At 34.6% G+C, this 18,773-nt stretch overlaps 1 protein-coding gene across 10 annotated transcripts in view, besides 1 other annotated feature; it reads right to left on the bottom strand.

The window, feature by feature from the left end:
- The window catches only part of ARHGEF38 (Rho guanine nucleotide exchange factor 38), a 129,947-nt gene that overhangs the window by 35,842 nt on the left and 75,332 nt on the right, over positions 1–18,773 (bottom strand). For 8 of the 10 annotated variants that reach the window (XR_938749.4, XR_007057934.1, XR_938750.4 and 5 more), the window contains 3 exons: positions 15,680–15,827; positions 10,305–10,322; positions 1,338–1,537 (listed from right to left, as the gene is read on the bottom strand). Coding sequence is in view for 5 of the 10 variants with exons in the window: in NM_001242729.2 (NP_001229658.1) it covers positions 1,338–1,537; positions 10,305–10,322; positions 15,680–15,827 (366 nt within the window). In the remaining 5 variants the exon portion in view is untranslated. Of the gene's footprint in view, positions 1–1,337; positions 1,538–10,304; positions 10,323–11,051; positions 11,126–15,044; positions 15,828–18,773 lie in introns of those variants that run through there. The other 2 variants (XM_006714244.4, NM_017700.2) reach the window with 2 other exon arrangements.
- Positions 13,644–13,713: an enhancer, noted in NCBI's record as "active region_21783". NCBI's record gives its function as "activates an Ori minimal core promoter by ATAC-STARR-seq in GM12878 lymphoblastoid cells {active_cell/tissue: GM12878}" and the evidence as "EXISTENCE:reporter gene assay evidence [ECO:0000049][PMID:35858748]".

The following is an 18,773-nucleotide window of genomic DNA, read 5'->3' as shown; positions in this document are numbered from 1 at the left end:
TATCTGGATTAATGTGTCTTTTTTATTTGCATTTATGAACAATGCTAGTTACCAGTACACCTCTCTTTGAGCACATGGGCAAGAGTCTCTCTTGGGCAAATACTTAGAAATTCATTTTCTGAGTCTCCGGTCTGTGCATCTTCAACTTTGCTAGGTATTGTCAAGTTGTTCTCTAAACTAGTGATTCCAAGTACATTCTCACCTGTAGATTGAGATTCAACATTTAGCGTATTCATTACTTTTTCCCTCCAGTCTCTTGGACTGGAAATGGTATGTTAGTGTGATTTCAATGATTACATTTCCCTGAGTATAAATGAAGATTAGAATTTTAAAACTGTGAATTGCTTCTTTTTATTTTTAACCTTTTTGTATTACAATGTTTTTTTATTGATTTAATGTCAGTGATTATATAGTCTGGACAGTGATCCTTTGTATACTATCTCTTCATTTTGTTCACGGAGTTTTCTTACTCCATAACATTTACTTTTTATTCTACACCTTTCTTTTTAATTTACTAATACAAATATATGACTTTTGAAATAAACATCAGAAAATAAAACAAAAATAAATAAAGTGATTAGACCATTTAGCTCTAAAGTCCTGCTGTGGCTTTAATGTCAAACTGAGATTTAATAATAGCAGTACAACACCAACTAAGAACTTATGTGAACACAAATCACACTGAGGGAGGACCCACAGCCTAGCTCAATGCATTACTACCTCTGGGATGTATAGGAACCATGTAATTATCCCTTCTGTTTTGAAATTTTACATTAAACACTAATTTTATATTTTAGCTTACAAATAGTTAACAATAATTTGCTAATTCTAGAAAGAAGTATACTTGCTCACATCAGTAGAGAAATTATTGCCACAAAAGCTCCATTCTCTGTGTGCCAGAACCAGATGAATCCAAAAGACTAGATGGCCTCTGTCACCTAGATCTTCCCCTTTCCTGGGTGCTTTCTGCATTTGCTTCCCACTGCTATTGCAACGTGGCCATTTCTCTTTCTTACCACACATATCTCCAGTGACAGGAGGACTATATGCAATGGGTTTCTTCAGCCCACAATATGTCACCAGGATTGCAGTGGTCCAATGAAGTTGAGCATATGGCTGCTTGATTTATTTTTTAATTTCATTTCTTGTGCCTCTTAATCTTCTCCTTAACCCAGCTGACAAGGCAAAACCACACTCTTCTCTCCAGCTTCTAATTGTAGATTTCAAATGATCAGTTCACTGCAGCTGCTATAACTACTTAAACATTCTGATTCTCAGAAACATAAAGCAAACACTCCAATAATGGAAAACAACCAATTCATCATGTCTCTTCCTACCTAAATCTTTCCTTCTTTTAAGTTCATTGATGTTAACATTAATGTCCTTCACAGCAGCAAAGGCATCGTCCAGTGCTCTGTAATCTGGGTGAGAGGGAGGGGTGGAATTCCGAAGTTCGCACAGTAATAGGGGGTATTTCATCACACGTTGAATTGGTTTGATCATCAAAGAGCCCATGTCCAATAAGTTTGGTTTGCCTCTACAATACAGATAAATAATATCAGTTTCACAAACATATGTTTTATTAACACATTTTCATTTTTGTGTGTTTTTATGATTACTTCTAAAACATTTTCTCTTTTTTTCATTTGTATATCTAAAATTTCTAAATAAAAGCAAGAGCAAAAGACGACAGAAAGAAGCAAATCTGAAAGACCCTACTATGAAACAAAAACCTAAAAGAAACAAGTATAACTTTCCATCAAATTGTCTCAAAGCATGATTTTCATCCATATGCCATGTACAGTTTACAAGGTTTTTTATAATTGGCTTTATAATATAATGGGAAACAATTTCAGAACGTATTTTACCATGACAACAAAGAAAAATGCATTTTCCTGATGGCATTTTGGTGATTATTATTGAGGAGAATAACCATTTAAAAATCTTAACAGAGGCTTGCAAAGGTATAGTTAAAAGGAAGTCTTGGCCTCTCTCTTCCACCAAATTGAGAAGTTGCATTTACAATGTTTTGTAGGTTCTACCACAGTCCCCAAAAGGGACTTCTGATAAATGTGATAATTCTTTAGTTATTATTATTACTATCCCTATCACTAATCATTGCTATCACACAGTGACATTCCATGTGGAATTCTTAGTCAACAAATCTTCAAATGACTACACAAAAGTGAGACTCATGCCTGACTTTTCCTTTAGCAGCTTCTGAGACGAAGTTGGAGCCGTTCCAACTGGTTAGGCAGTTCACAGGAGGGGAAGAAGCTACAAGCTTGGTCATGCCATTGTCTAGCCCACTCTCATTGATCATTCAGACAGAAGGCAGTGATTTCTAAAAGCCTCTTTATGCAGAGACCAATAAAGATACACTGTAGATAGGAAATACAGACACTGTTTTCAAATCCCAATAGGTGGATGTTTTATACTTCAATAATTTTTTAAAGTATTGCTATGGATAAATGACTGACCATATTATTAGAATAGTAAAACAGCTATAAAAATGTTGAACAAAATTAGAAAAGTTGCATCATTAGAAAGGGTCGGGGGCCAGGCACAGTGGTTTGGGCCTGTAATCCCAGCACTTTGGGAGGCCAAGGCAGGCAGATTACTTGAGCCCAGGAGTTCAAGACCAGCCTGGGCAACATAGCAAAACCCCGTCTCTAGAAAAAAATACAAAAGTTAGCCAGGCATGGTGGCAGGCACCTGTAGTCTCAGATACTTGGGAGGCTGAGGTGGGCAGATTGCTTAAGCTGGGGAGGTCGAGGCTGCAGTGAGCCGCTGCACTCCAGCCTGGGCAACAGAGTGAGAGCCTGTCGCAAAAAAAAAAAAAAAAAAAAAAAGTAGGAAGGCATCTTAGAGACCATCTAATTCAATTCATTTGATAAATGAGAAACAAAAGAATGTATTATCACATGTACATGCACACAATGTGGAGAAATACACATGCACATACATTCACAAACATACACTAGTCACTATCACATCTCTCCACTTATCACTATCTGGAATCATCTTGTTTCCCTATTTGCCAGTTTATGATCAGTTTCCCTGTCTCCACTCTACCTCCTGCATGGCATACAGTATTCTCTCAATGCATATTTGTGGACTGAGAAATGATAGAGTTCTCAGATTTTCTGTAATGTACTTTTATCTTATACCGAACGTTTTTTCCAAAAACGTGAATAAATGGCTGAGGAATTTTGTTCACATGCAGAGAAAATGATGATAGCATAAGAGAGACAAAGACTAAAGCAAACCCAAAGGCAACATTTTTTTAAAAAGAAAACCAGAATAAGTATTAAAGGTCTGCAAGGGAGTAAAGAGTTGCTTTAATAGGCTGTATCTTCTACTTCATACCTATTTGCACCAAATCTATTAAGGAAGAAAAAGAGGAAGGTAAGGAGAGAAAGTGACAGAGGGGGAAGGAGGCAGAAAGAGGGAAAAAGAGAGACTCGGAAAGAGGGAGGGAAGGAGAGATGGATTATTGGTTTCCAAGACGACTGAGTGAAGTAGATTTTAAAAATAAATCTATTATAAATACTGAAAACTGTTTTCAGTATTTATACTGAAAAAAAAAAACTAACAAAAAACCCAAAAGATATTTTCTAACTGATGGTGTATCAGTAGCAAAACCTTTAAATATGAAGGACATTTTCTTATATATTGTAAGCAGAGGTTCTTCAATAATACAACAGTTTAGTCACTTAAGTAGAAAGTAGAAATAATTCCCTTAAATAAGAAACAAGTCAAGGATATGAAAGGTATTAACTTGATTAGAGGAAATCATATTATCTACATGAATATAATCAGAATTTCTTTTGAATTTTTATTATCAAATGCTAACTTATTTAATCTTTGAAAATCACTAAAAGACTATCAAAATATAATCAAACATTTAAATCAATATAAATTCAACTTTAATAAAATAGTTTATTAGTGTGGTCTTTTGTTATATATATGCTCTTATTTTTAATTATAAAAAACAAAAACCCAGATGTGCAGCCGTCTTGTAGGAATTCCCCTCCCATCATCCTGGAGATTCTCTTTGCCTCTTTCCTGTGTTGGTTCTTCCTCATTTTGATAGAGTACATCCTTCAGTAGTTTCTTCTATTCCTCACAGAATGAATGGGAAGTAAAATGTTAAGAACTTTAACTTTAAATGTTAAGAACTGCTCTCATTTCTTTCTTATCCAGATCTATCAAAAAACCAACTTAGGCTCTGTTGTGTCTAGATTGTATCATTACTTTTTATTCATCACTCTTTGGGATTAAAGTTCTATCTCTCCCTTTTATATTTCAAATGACAATAATAGTATTTATACATGATTGTTGTTTCTCCTAAAAAAGTCATAAATACAAATCCTAAAAAAGGCGTTCTCAAAAATGAGAAATCTCCCAGACACTTTTGTGTCTGGAGATATACTTGAGAGAGTTGCCCAAGTGATGAGCAATGATATTCAGAAAACTGCATCGCACAGACAAGCAATATCGTAGAAAAGATAGAGGGAGTGTTATAAGATAATAATACTCCATGCTTTCAGTGCCACAAAATTCACCCCATCTAATCTCCCACAGTAAGATTCAGTTCTGGTAACCATGCGAGGCAGATGAGTCCTATGTGTGATATAACCCATCTCAGCCAGGAAGTCAATTATCCCATGACTCCCCACAGTAAGTAAACAAACGTGTAACAATTGCTCATATATATTGGGCCAAAAACTAAACTACTTATTAATTTGTAATTCTATTTCATCTTCCTCTGTCTTATCATAAATACTTTGGCAAGTATTTAGTGCCAAAAGTAGCTACACTAATCTCATTACAAATTATTTTTGGGTCTTTACAAAGTCAAGTAAACACAGCTGGCTTTGTTTTAGCAGCATCCAGTTTTGCTGCAGAGTTTCATATCAAATACAAGAAAAAAGTACAATGAAAATTAAAATGATTTTTAAATAATATAAACATTATGCTGGAAAACAAAAAAAAATTAGATATTCAACATGCAGCGCATCTATATTTCTTAATGGGAAGGAAAAAATACATAAAAAAAAGAATAATTATGTAACTATTAACTATATTACTTTGAATTTCCTTTATTTCATGATCACAAGCATCCTAAATTTAATATTTATTTTACAGTAGCCACAAGCATTTATGCTGTTACTTTTTTCAATTTACTCTCCTTTTAAAATACCTAAGTCAATTTTAAAGGAAACTGTATATTGTTACACAAATAAACAGCATTTGTCATAAATAAAAGATAATAGTGAAAATAAATACATCATAATAATTATTAAATTAGAATACATAAGGGAGATAAATGAATAGTAACCGATGTAACAGACCAGATAGAACCAGTGAAATGGTGAGGCAATGTTTAATCATTTTGCAAATGTTAATCAATTACAGTCACTGGTTACCCATGGAAATAGGGAATGAGGGGCTGGATACCAAAATAAGGAGGGTCCATTGAAAATCTGTTTAAGAAAGTGTCTAATTCTTACAAGTGTTGGAGATAATGTCTTGAAACTTTCCAAAGAGAAGAACAAACACACAAAAGAATAGAAAATAGAAAAAAAAATGAGAAAATTAGATGACTGGTCTAGGAACTTCATCATCTACTAATAAGAATCACAGAAAGGTAAAACAAAGCAAATATGAGGAGTAAATAGTGAGCGAAATAATTCAAGAAAAAGACAGGAATTTGCAGGTTAAAAGAACTCACTAAGTGTCCAGCACAATGGAAGAAATGGAGTCACACCTTGGAATTCATGAACTTCAGAGTGCTAAGGACAAAAAGAAGACTCTATAATCCTTCAGAAAAAGAAATAAGCACATAGGTATAAATGCATAATTAGGAATCAGAATGTTTCAGATTTCTAATAGCAACTCTGAAAGCTAGAAAATGATAAAGAATTACCTCTAAATTCTGAAGGTGAATGGTTTCCAATTTAGAATTCGATAGCAAATCAAACTATAAACCAAGCGTGAGAGTAAAAGAAAAGTATTTCAGATACAAAGTTCTTAACATTTTACTTCCCATGCATTCTGTGAGGAATAGAAGAAACTACTGAAGGATGTACTCCACCAAAATGAGTTAGAACCAACACAGGAAAGAAGCAAAGAGAATCTCCAGGATGATGGGAGGGGAATTCCTACAAGATGGCTGCACCTGGTGTCACCAGTCCAACTGGACTGGAGACTCTGGAAGGGGCTCTTTTGGGGAGATGAAATTGATAGCATACATAATGCATCTGGTTGTCTTGAAAGATGACTTAGTTAACTGGCTGTGAGTTTGGCATTAATTGTTAATACAAAGAAAACTAAGTAAATGAAGAACAAGAAGCAGCAGAGAAAGTAGATGAAGTGGAGGAGGAGGGCACAATGAAAACGATAATCAACAATTGTTAATTCATAGAAAAATAAGTAATCACTTTAAGGTTTAGCTCTGAAAAGAAGTTTACTTAGATATAATAATCAGACATTGATTATTGCTCTAACAAAATTACAGCGTAACAACTTAGGGGGAATGGAGAAATGGAAAAGGCGTTTGTGTGTGTGTTTGTTGTGTGTAGAGGAGATAGGGATAGGAAAGAGAAATAAATTCTTGTCTTCTACAGGAGAAAGTTAAAGATAGTATCTAAAAAGGAAACAACCAAGCATGTTTTTAGAGTAATAAAGATAAATACCAAAATAGACAGCTAAAGATGTGAAAGTAATGTATTCTAATGAGAATTTAGGGGCTGGCAGGAGAAGAGGGGATTACTATTTTTCTTGACAAATCTTGCAGAACGATTTGGCTATTGAAACAGGGCTATATATCATTTTTAATAAAAAGTTCTTTATAAAAAGGGAATATGCAAGAATACTCAAAAAATTGTAAAAGAAAAGTACTGAGCTGAGACTAATGATACTCAATATTAAAATATATTATAAAGCTACAAAAATAAAAGCAGTTTGGTATTGATACATTTATGGACAAATGAGTAGCACAAAATAGAAAATCAAGAAATAGATACAAATATGTATAGAAATAGAGTACATGGTAAATTTGACAATCCTATTCAGTGGGAAAAAGTGAATTATTCAATATCAGATGTTATGAGAATTAACTAGCCATAAATAAAACAATAAAAATGGATTTTGGCCTCATTCTTTACACTAAAATAATTTCGAGATAGGTCAAATATTAAATCTAAAAATTAAACCATATAAGAATTTGAAGAAATCATAGGATCATCCTTTATAAACTAATGTTGGAATTTCTAAGGCAGACACAAAATCTGAAAGGCACAGTAGAAAAAAATGATGTCTATTTAAAAATTTAGCTCCGTAAAATTTTATAGATTAAAAACAGCCTGAAACAGCCATAAACTGTGTTAAAAGTCAGATGATAAACTGGAAAAATTATATATAATACATAAGACAAAGGTTAATATGCACTAATTAAAGAGACATTACAAACGTATTAGAAAAAATGAACATCTCAGTAAAAGTGAATAATCATTTAAAAACATCATTCGTTAGAAATGAAATACAAATAGTTAAATACATAGGAAAAATGCAAATTAAAATAACAGGATACTATTTGGGCCTATACATTACAAGTTATAAAGATATCAATATTATTTGTATCTAGTGTTGGCAAGTAGTGGATAAATGAACAATTGACATAAGAGTAGTGAGAATATAAATTAGCTCAGCTTTTTTTGAAATGTTCTGACAATAAGTATCAAAAGCCCTTTGATCTAGCAATTTCACTTTCAGAAATTGATCCAAAAAATCAAATTATTGTACCAAGATCATATATAAAAATAAACTTATGACATCAATAAGACAGACAAAATTCAACTGTCAGTAAGGGTTTGGCAAACTAAATTATGGCATATATATCAGACAGAATATTATGCAAGTATAAAACAATGTGGATTTATATTTACTGACATGGAAAGATATTCACAACATATTGATGATGAATGAGGTAGCAAGTCGACATACAAGAAACGTATAGTGTTCCTATTTTAGTCAATGTATGTGTGTGAAGAAAAAAGTATGGTGAAGTGAGGGACTCACTGCAATGCTACAATAGTTAGCTTTGGAATGTGACTGCTGATTGTCTTTACTGTCCTCATTTTTATTTTCCTTTTTTTGCAATGTTTCTTCAATAATTTTTAAAATACAAAGAAAAGAGAAAATAATTTATAATATTTTGTGATTAATAGGAACCTTGAAATCCAAGGTGAGAATAGCTAATCTGACAGGGAACACATAAAAAAAAGAGTGAAAGCATAAAGATAACAAAACACTGCATTTCTGAAGATAGCTGTGTTTAGAATAGGCATTTTTTTCTTGCTTTTAGTGGGAAGTTCTATGATTGCTGTCACTTTAATACTGTCTGATGTTTGCGTGAGGTTATAATTCAAAGTAAACATTTTAGAAATTACAAATATCTTTCACTTTGTATTTTTAAGAAGGTAGGTTGTAAAAAAAACCTAAAAAACGGATAATTTTTGATTGCCATAAGTGAGGGATTATTGAATGCCATGTAAAAACCCACATCTTGTACTCTTAAATGCCCTTTTGGCTGCAACATTGCTGGCCTTTGCCACTAAAGAACCCAACAATTACACAGCACTTGACATTGCCTTTTGCCCTTTCCTGTAGCAGTATGTGTGCTTCATGACCTGAATGAAAGGAACAGGAAGGAAAATAATTCATGGCAGACTTGGCTTTGATGTGCATCCAGCCACATGCTGGGATTGCTCTTCTTTTTTAGTTCTTGATGTATAGAATAGTCTAGAGGGAGCAGACACAACCTGGCTAACTCCTACACAGCAGGATTGCAGCAAGTGCTAGGGCCATTTTTAAGCGTGTTTCAATACAATGAACTGTTTAAGTATTCTGTATGTAGAAGTCCGTGCATGCAAATTGTACTAAGAAGAATATCTCCCTTTTTCTCCTCTGAATCTCTCTCTCCTCTCTTCTTGTTTCTTGGTTCCAAAGACCTAATGCAAGCTTTAGAAAAGGAAACCTAAGCAGAATTTGTAGCACATGAAGTTCCTCTCTAACCACTCAGTTATGCAAAGCTCCAGTCCTTGGCACAATGCCAGGGACACAGGCTGTATAATGAGGCAGAGCCATTTCCCAGCCCCCATCAACTATCTTTGAAGAGAAGCCAGGAGGCCGATGCACCTCTTTGAATTCAAATGAGCCTAGAATTGGAAACTCATAAGACAAATCTACTCATATCTGTTTATACTGTCGGATAGTTTTTCCTTTTGAAAAAAGAAAGGAAAAGAAAAGAAAAGACTGATAAAGTGAGAGAACTGGTTGCCTGTCTGGTGTCTCAAAAATCAGCTTCTCAACTTGACTGAGATATACAGCCCTGGTCTACAGATCTGTATGATGCCTGACTCCTTCACTTCAGTTCCAGAATTCCGTTCTCACTGTTGCTCTGCACCAAAATATGAATGACAGATATTTGCTGCTTACATTAATATAATTTATATTTTGTAAGCTCTTTATTTCTTCATATAAACTCTTAGGAATTTAAAGTACATACACACACACAAGCAAACACACACTAGAAGCTTGGGACCTTAAAGAGTTGCTCATCATAAGCCAAACATGTGCCTGGTAAATAAATTGGAGTTTGTATTGAAGTCAATTTCATCCTTTCAGCATTAATCAGCCTGGATACATTTTCTTCTAGAATAATGGACCTCTTTCAGAGTGTTTGTATACGCTGTTTTTCTAAAATAATTTCTATATTGTCCTAGTAACCAACTATTTCACCTTAATATTTCATTTTCATGCTATAATGTGTATGATTTTTTTCTCCATAAATCATACAAGACTTGAAATTAGAAGAAATCTAATATTTTCATAAAATAATCTTTTCTTATGCATTAATCTATAGAAACTTCAAATGCATTATGATATTAATCTGAGATTTTTTAAAGACTAATATGTTTCATAGAAAGAAGTGTTTTTGGACACATTAAGATTCCCAAACATATGTATGATGAGCAGTTCCCAAAGACTTTCTGGCATCAGCAAACTTAGTAAATTATATGTTGGGATTCTTCTAAAAGGTTTGGTAAAGTATATGTGATAATAATTTAATAAGTAAAATATGCACCAGTAATGGGGTAAATGCCTTTGCAATCCTGGATTATTAAAAGCAATACTCATGATTAGAAAAATCAGAATTTCTGATTTGGACAGGAACAGTCAGCTGCATTTTCTCGTGATTTTTATATTTGATTTATATTATTTTAAAAAGTACTTACTCTTGCATGTATATTTTCCTGTAAGAGAAGAAAAAGAAAGTAAATTCATGTAAATCTGTATATTTAAGGTAATATACAAACATTATAAATCCTTTTAAATTTTCTTATGTAAAATAAAATAAGTAATTTTCATGAATGCCTTATAGAAGTAGTCTCATTATTTTATAATCATGTCCCTAACAAATAAAGAAGATGAAAGTTTTTATCTAAAAGCCTCAAGTGGCTATGGATAAATAAAATAATATCCTGTGTTTATTATCTGATCACTGTGGGCTTTGGTTTCCAACCATTTGGAGTACAATAAATGTTTTCAATATAAAAAAATTTTAAGATCCATTCCATAATAATAGATGGTCTTTTTACATTCAGTGATTGAGGAAAAATTTAATAAGTGCCTAAGCTGCATTTTGTAAAATTTAATGGATTTAATAAGTTTTTTTCCATTAATCTCAGTACTTTGTATATGTGGAAAATGGTGGGGGACATGTGTGAAGCAATTGTTTCCTCAATCTCCAGACATGCTATATGAGTGAATTGCTAGACATCCTAACATAACTAGGTTTTGCTTAGTCTAAGACCTATTAGATGGGAATCAAGCACAGAATTATAATTTTTTTAAAATCAGCAGCTGCTATAATTTTAGGCAATTATTCACGACTGTTTAAAGAACTCTCCTATTGCAATGAAAGAAATACCACCACCACCTCCTGCCCAATATTTCCTTCCAATCATTTCCTTTAAGCTCACATGCTTCCTTCTTTCCTCTTCTAAAGGGAAATTTTATTTGCCAGATATGCTTTGTGCGTCATAGGTCAGAAAATCTGGGGAAGAAAATGAATAAAAATAAAAATGCAATTTTTCATGCAAACCAATAAGTGAATAATGTGATCATTTAGGAATCAAAACACATACATTGAAGTTGAAAGAGAAGGTTATTCTTTTAACTCCTACAGAAAACATGGGGTTTTTTTTTCTATTTCATTTATTTTAGCCAAGTAAAACCTAAATATCATAACATAAATTAAACATTGTGTTTATGTAGTATAACGCTTTATGAAAGGGAATCTGAGAGATTTTCCAGTAGGATAAAACAACAATCTGTGGAGTAGTGGCACTATATTATAACATCTTTTTATTTGTTCATCATTTTTAAAAAAATCTCTTTTAGGCTGAAACTTTGCAGAAGCTAATCCCAACCAAGGGCAATTCAGGAAGGAAGAATTTAAAATGTGTCCATTTACCCTTTTATGGGATAAAGTAATTTAATATATTTATCACTATACCTCCTACCCTCATGAACACATTATACTTTGACTCACAATTAACAAGTTTTTATGTGACTATTCCTTAAGGATTATAGTCTTTGTTCAAACATGATGCCATATAACAAGGAACTGAAGGGCTTTCCAAAAGTGATTTTAATTTTTACTTGGAACACTCCATTAGAATAATGAGTATAAAATGTGGTGAACAAATTGAAATGTATTCCTTTGGATTTTGCATTGCATGAGCTTTTAGCTTCCTCCCTGAATGGAGAAGCTCCAGGAGTAATGTGAGCAGCCAAAGTGCCCAGATGACTAGAAGTTAGAAGTTTTCCTCCTGGGGATGATGGCCTTGATTAGCAAGAAGAAAAATACAGATACATTTATAACAACTAGACATGAAGCTAGAAATGTGTCTTCCATCCATCAAAAACTTAGAAAATCCCCTTCATTCTCTTTCTATTACAAAATAAACAGATCTCTGGGGCCTCTGAAATGCAGCAGGGACTTTAGTGGTATTTATAAATGGAAAAGCAGAAAAAGGAGGCAACAGACAGGCTATTCTAATTATAGCTACATTTGCATTTATAGCCACGCTATCTTTCACATTCCTCATACAGATCAGAAACCTTAAATAACCCCAAGAAGGCTAAGTAATAAGATCTTTAGCAAATAACTTCCATAACTTTGGAGACTATTTTAATACAGTATTTCACACAATCTTAGGGGTCACTAATTTGACTGTCAAAACTTTTTGTTGAATAAATAAAAACTTGCTAATTTCCAATTTGTAGGCTATAGATGCAGATGTGTATTTGCTTTTGGAGAGCCTTAGAATCTTTTCTTTTTGAAGGTCTCCAAACTCTGTAGTTACTGCTTAGATTGTATCTATATTGATGAAAAAACCCACCTGCTTCAGGGAAAGCAGCAAGTATGATTTCTCCCACTAATTTAGTTCTTAACTTGAGTGTGTATGGAAAATCACCTGAGGTGGCTTGTTAAAAGAGCAGACCCTGAACTGGACCACCAGAAATAGTATTTTTTTTTGGTCTGAGGCAGAGCATAGGAATCTGTACTTTTAATACACCATCCTGGTGGATCTGGCGCAAGGGAACTCCACACAGAAAAACACTGCCCTCACGTTATGAAAGGATTCAACATTATTCTCTCTTTTGAAAGATAATTGGCTTCAAAGAATAATTGAAAGTTAGAAACTTGGGTCTTTTACAGAACCAGGTAATATCTCTACTACTCTTTTGGGAATTAGTCTTGAACTGCAGCCACTGTGAAAGCTTCTGGTGTTATTTAAATTAATTCTTGTATTGTTATTAAACTTTCCACATGGTTTTGTTTATCTCCTCAACTAGGGTTTGTGTTCCTGAGAGGCAAGAACTATGCTTATATATTTTTAAAAAATATTTTCAACATTATTTAGCACTCTTATTAAATATTTATTAGGCCCTCAATAAACATACTGTAATTTTGGTTAAAAAGCAGCCTAAATTGCTTTAAAATCCACCTTAACTTCTGAGGCATGAAGCCACCTCTCTCGTGGATATTGCTTCGAACAAAGATTTCCAATATCCCCTTGCACAGGATAAAATGGAGGCCACACCTAGTATTCATTAGAAATTGGCAACTGCACTTGGGCTGTGTTATCTAGCCACAAGGAAAAGGCAGAGTGACAGTAATAGCTTTGACTGATTACTTGGCCAGGAAAACCAAGCCCTTAGGGTGTTCCAGACTCTCTTTGGCCTATAAACCTGTTTGAAAACCTGTTTCTCAGAATTTAAAGGTTAGCTCGATTGAGGTCAGTATTATAGTAATGTCAATAATTCTACTGCCCTCAGCCTTCAGGCAGACCAGTACAATCCATCATTAACTTTATTTTCATGGAAAGGCAACTTTTGGGAAAATAGCTCTAACTTCAGCTATTTTATTTGATTTTCTTTCCCTTAAGAAATAGTTGTGCCAATACTGCTTCTTTTGGCTTTTTTGCTTTCTAAACCTTAACACCTTCCAGTGCCTGCAACTGTTACCTAAAATCAGAATAGCTCTAAACTCAAAATTTGGGGCATGGCCAGGGGAATTACCTGAAACTTGCAGAAAAAGACCAAATAAGCCATTGGGTCTGAAAATAATTTTCAGTAACTGAGACTTCATGAGGTTCTAAAATCACCTCTGCCTTTAGCTGCTTTGTGGGGATATGATACTGGGCTATACTGCCTAGTGGAATCTTCTGGCAGGGTCTGTTTCTTTCTCTTAAAAGTTAAAAGTTTAATGAATAGTAAACTGATGTTCTTTCCTCTCTGAACAGACTGCTCCACTTCTGGTGAACAGTTAGAAGCGCATGCCTAAAGTAGAGGCACCACATTCTTTTCAGGCAAGGACCTCCATCCCCAGGGCTGGCATTGGGTGGGGTTTGATCAAAGGTGCTAAATGTTCACTTTCTGTGACATTTCTCACGCTTAGTTCTAGAACCCGAAGAAGGAAAATGGCTCCAGCTTTTATTGGATCAGATCTTGCCACTTGTTTAAGGTAGGAAAGGTGTTCATTCAAACCCAGGATAACACCATTTCCTTTTTTTTCCCAAAGAATAAAACAGCTGAACATTTAGAGGACTGTGCTTCTAATATATGAATTTATTAAAATGAACACAACTTCAAATTTGAATGTTTCTCTGAATTGATATACTAACACTGAACCTAAACTGAAAATAGAAATAATTAACTAGAGCTACTTGCTCATTACATCTTATATTTAAGACTTAACTGATCATATTGAGTTCCTTAGGGCAGAATCTAAGTCTTATTTACTTTTGTATACTTAGCCCCCAGAACTACGCTTGACACAGCACAAACACTAAATAAATGCTTAAGATTTGGTGACTTGAATTCTTTTCCATAGCATGAAGAATGGTTTAAAACTGCAGTAATTTAATGACCAGTAGACGGCAATAAAGTTGAAATTTTATTTATTTAAAAAAAAAATTCACTGGGCTCATTTTAAACTCACTTTCAGACCCAATTCTAGCCGGGAAACGCCTCCTCCAGAGTAGTATCATGATTTCAATTTAGTGCAGCTAAAAACCTCTTGTACCACGTTAGGATCCCCATCCCCATCCCCGTTGGGGATCCCTCTTTCCCCTATCACACAGAGTAAACGGGGGAGGTGTGCTACAGGATCAGACGGGTGTACATTGACTTATACACCACAGCTCTCTGTGGTTGTTTAATTCCTGGTCTAATCAAAATTATTTGACAGTGGATACTACTTACAAGTGAGAGTCTGTAAGAGAGCCACTGGGTAAGATGTGGAGTATGGTAGTGATTTTGGCTTTAAGCTTCATGTGATAGGAAACTGCATATTCAGAAAGATACCAATTCCATTTAAAAGAATCAATCCAAACACATACCCACATTTATACATATAAATAATATCAGAAGAAAATGATTATTAAGAAGAAAGGGGCTAATAGTGAAATAGCAAGGGGTTTTTATCTTACACATACTTTGTTATATTTTTCAGATTTTCACAGTGAATAGATACTTCCTCTAGAAAAGAAAAAGTACATTGTGTAGCTCCCCCACCAATGTTTTAGGGATGAGAAAGGAAGGCATGAGTAATTGTTCTGAAACTAACTTTAACAAGGCCTGACTTGTCTTCACCCATCTCCCCACAGTGAGTTTGGGGAAAGAAGACGGCCATGCAGAGTTGTAGGCCATTCCCCTAACTCCATTAACCCATGTGCTCCAGTGGTCATGGGGCCACGTGTTATCTCACATAATCCTTGAACTACGTGGGGCCAGGCAAGTTACAATAGCTTTAAGAAGAGGCTTTTCTTCCACATTTTATATTTTGATATTGCATTTTTCAATCGCTGCAGAGCTCTAAATCTTCTTCCATGTTATTTTTAGTCATTCTCGCAGGGGGAAAAAAAGTCAATCAGGGCTTCTGGCATGTCAGCTTTTTATAAAGGGAATGCAAAGCAGAGCTCCCAGCAAGTCTCATAAAACATAGGATTTATGTGAGACCTTTCATCTACATCCATTTAAAATGTTCCCTGCTAGGCAACTGAGAGGAGATGGGAATCATCATTTGAAAAGGCCTTACTTTAAGGACTGGATACAGTGGCTCAAATGTTCCTTCAGCTCTTCTTCCTTTTCATAGGACTCCAGTATACTATGTGCTTCATCATGGTGATAGCAGTAGATTTTATAAATATCTTCCAGTGGCCCTTTAATCTGCAAGAATACTTCTCCTGATAAATGCAAAACAAAGGCAAAATGACATCATCAGACAAAGCTGGCACTTCACATGATTATTTTCAACAATGTCGACTCGTGTCAAAAACTTGGATGGGATCTACTTTATCCCCAGGTTATTCAGGGAGGGTGGAAAACATTGAGTGATTTTTTTTTCCTTTTCTTTCCTTTTTCCTTCTCTCCCTGCTTTCCTTCTTTGCTCCTTCTCTTTTTCTGTCTTTTCTTTTTTTTCTTTTATAAAACAAAGGATGAACAAGTTATCAGAGATGGGCAGCAAAAGAAAGCTGGTTTTCTCAAAGGCAACTTTACACACAAGGTTGATGTGCAGAATTGCGGTTAAGAGTTGCAGTGTGGCCAGGTGCAGTGGCTCACGCCTATAATCCCAGCACTTTGGGAGGCTGAGGTGGGTGGATCACGAGGTCAGGAGTTTGAGACCAGCCTGGCCAATATGGTGAAACCCCGTCTCTACTAAAAATACAAAAATCAGCTTGGTGTCAGGCGACCTGTAGCCCCAGCTACTCGGGAGGCTGAGGCAGGAGAATCGCTTGAACCCGGGAGGCAGAGGTTGCAGCGAGCTGAGATTGCACCACTGCACTCCAGCCTGGGTGACAGAGCAAGACTCTATCTCAAAAAAAAAAAAAAAAGAGTTGCAGTTTAGAGTTGGTGTGCACGGATTTGAGTCAGGCTGTGCTACAGACTGGCACTTTGACTTGAGCAAGTTATTTTTACTCTTTAAACCTGATGACACCAATAGATTCAATTTTAGAGAGTCATTGTAAAAAGTAAAAGAGGTGGTATTTGTAAAGTTCATAGTATAGTAAATACATATGAAATACTCAAAATGAAGCAATTTTTTGTTAATTTATAAGAGACACAGAAGGTGAAATTTCAAGTGCTGGGTAAGTATTTTTCAATATTTACTCCACTAATATTTCCTGAGGCTCTCTGAAAGGCAAGCAATGGAGTTTAGAGAAATAAAATATTTCCTTCTATGTGATAATAAAATAGATCATTATTTTAAAAATCAGTTTAATACCATGAACAAAGGTTATGACTGTATCTTCGTAAAGCAACTTAGACTAATTGTATCCAGGCATTTAATGAATCCTTTTTGGTATTATGATGAAATAGGGTCTATAACTGGTGACTAAATTAGATATTGGACGATAGTTTGATTTGATCCACACTTCATTACTTAAAGATAAGTATTATGCATCCACTACTCAACCCAACACTATAGAAATTATTTGGCAGATATCCAAGCAATATGTGACAGGGTCAGCTCTCAAAACATTGCAGATTTGAGACTAATAATGATTTGGTGGCTGAATTAATTGGGATGGCTGAATAGATTGACAGTGATCTGGACCTATTAATCTGGACCTATTATAGTTAACAGGAGTAAGTCATTCTTTCCACAGAAATAAAAGTGCCCTTAGTATTTTCAACATGTTTTTCACACATTAACTTCCTACTTGCATGAAGAGATAAAAGGTTATTTATCCATATTAATTCAGGATGAATAAATCTGAATTTGAAACAAATAAATGATTTTCCCGAAGTCCTGTCTAGAGGTGGAAAGGCAGAATTAGAGGCTGTATTCTTATTTTTTCCCTGGATTTTAGCACATACCCCTCCCCAGCCACCCAATTCAGAGCTTTGCTGAGCACTGTATGAGGTGATGCACTTGGAAAGAACACTAAACTTGAAATCAGAAACAATTTAGGGTTTGTGTGGGGAATTTGAGAATGACTTTTTAAAATTTTAGTAGCTTTTAGGGTACTAGTCGTTTTTGGTTACATGGATGAATTATACAATCGGAGAATGATTTTTTTTAAAATAAATTATTTGAGTCTTAGTGCCTTCATTTTATTTGCAAAATAAAAATAATAGTAGCCATTGAGATTCATTTGAGAATGAAATGGGGTGATAGATATAAAAAGTGCCCGCCACTGACTAGTTGCTCAAGAATTGTCATTTGTCTCTTAAGGTTGCTTTGCTACCTCTAGAATTAAAACACTAACACTTTTAAAGTATCACATTCTTTTCTAATTTATTTACAGCCAATAAAATATTTTTCCTTTTCATGATGTGGGATTTTCCTGTGATTATATGCTTATAGTTAGACTCTGAGGTAATGTGAGATAATGTGCACACATGTGAGTGTGTGTGTGTTTGTGTGCATGTGTGTGTGTGTTTTAAGATTTTTGTTTGTTTGTTTTAGTAGTGCTTTCTGGGGGCCTATAAGAAAACTCAATAACTGTGAGCATCTTTGGAGCTGAAGGACACAGGATTCTTGTTTTGTTTCTGATATCCTATAGAGTTCATCCTTCAACTAGTGTAGGTCATATGGATTTGTTCTTCAACACTGATAACAACACAAACAGTAAGAGCTATCAAGTAGAGGAAAGAAAACAAAATAGAACCGTGACTGAATTTAGGGAAGGGAGCCTCCCAGTAGCAGAACCAGGTAGCAAATGGGAACTAGTGGCTTTGGCTGGGAGGGCCCAGAAGTGGGACTGGTGACAGGCTTAGATCACAGACTTAGCTGGACGCTCAGCAGCAAGTCAACAACAGTGGACCTGCATACACACAGCCCAACACAAGATGAAGCTGTAAATAAGTGTGCTTACTACAAAGAAGCTAAAAGCAGAGACCAAAAAAGGAAAGAGGTAAGGACAATCTCACAAATCCACAAGGTGATCAAATTAGAAAGTCAAAAAACAAAGAAGAGCTAAAACACTTATCTTTATACACAATGAACCCATTAATTGTAAATTCTCTTGCATTTTCTTTAACAGGAGTGGTGTAGTTTGAAAGAATTTATAGCTCTTACTTTAACAGAAGAATCTTTTTTTTTTTTACTCTTTTCCAAGTAAAATTCTGTTGAGGCTCTAATAATAATTATTAAAGTTAAAAGATATTTAAGTACTCTAATTGAA

The sequence above is a fragment of the Homo sapiens genome, chromosome 4 (genome assembly GCF_000001405.40).
Source record: "Homo sapiens chromosome 4, GRCh38.p14 Primary Assembly".
In the NCBI taxonomy this organism is placed as follows: Eukaryota; Metazoa; Chordata; class Mammalia; order Primates; family Hominidae; genus Homo; species Homo sapiens.
Note: the sequence above shows the minus strand (reverse complement) of the source record. Positions and strands in the feature narration are given on the sequence as shown.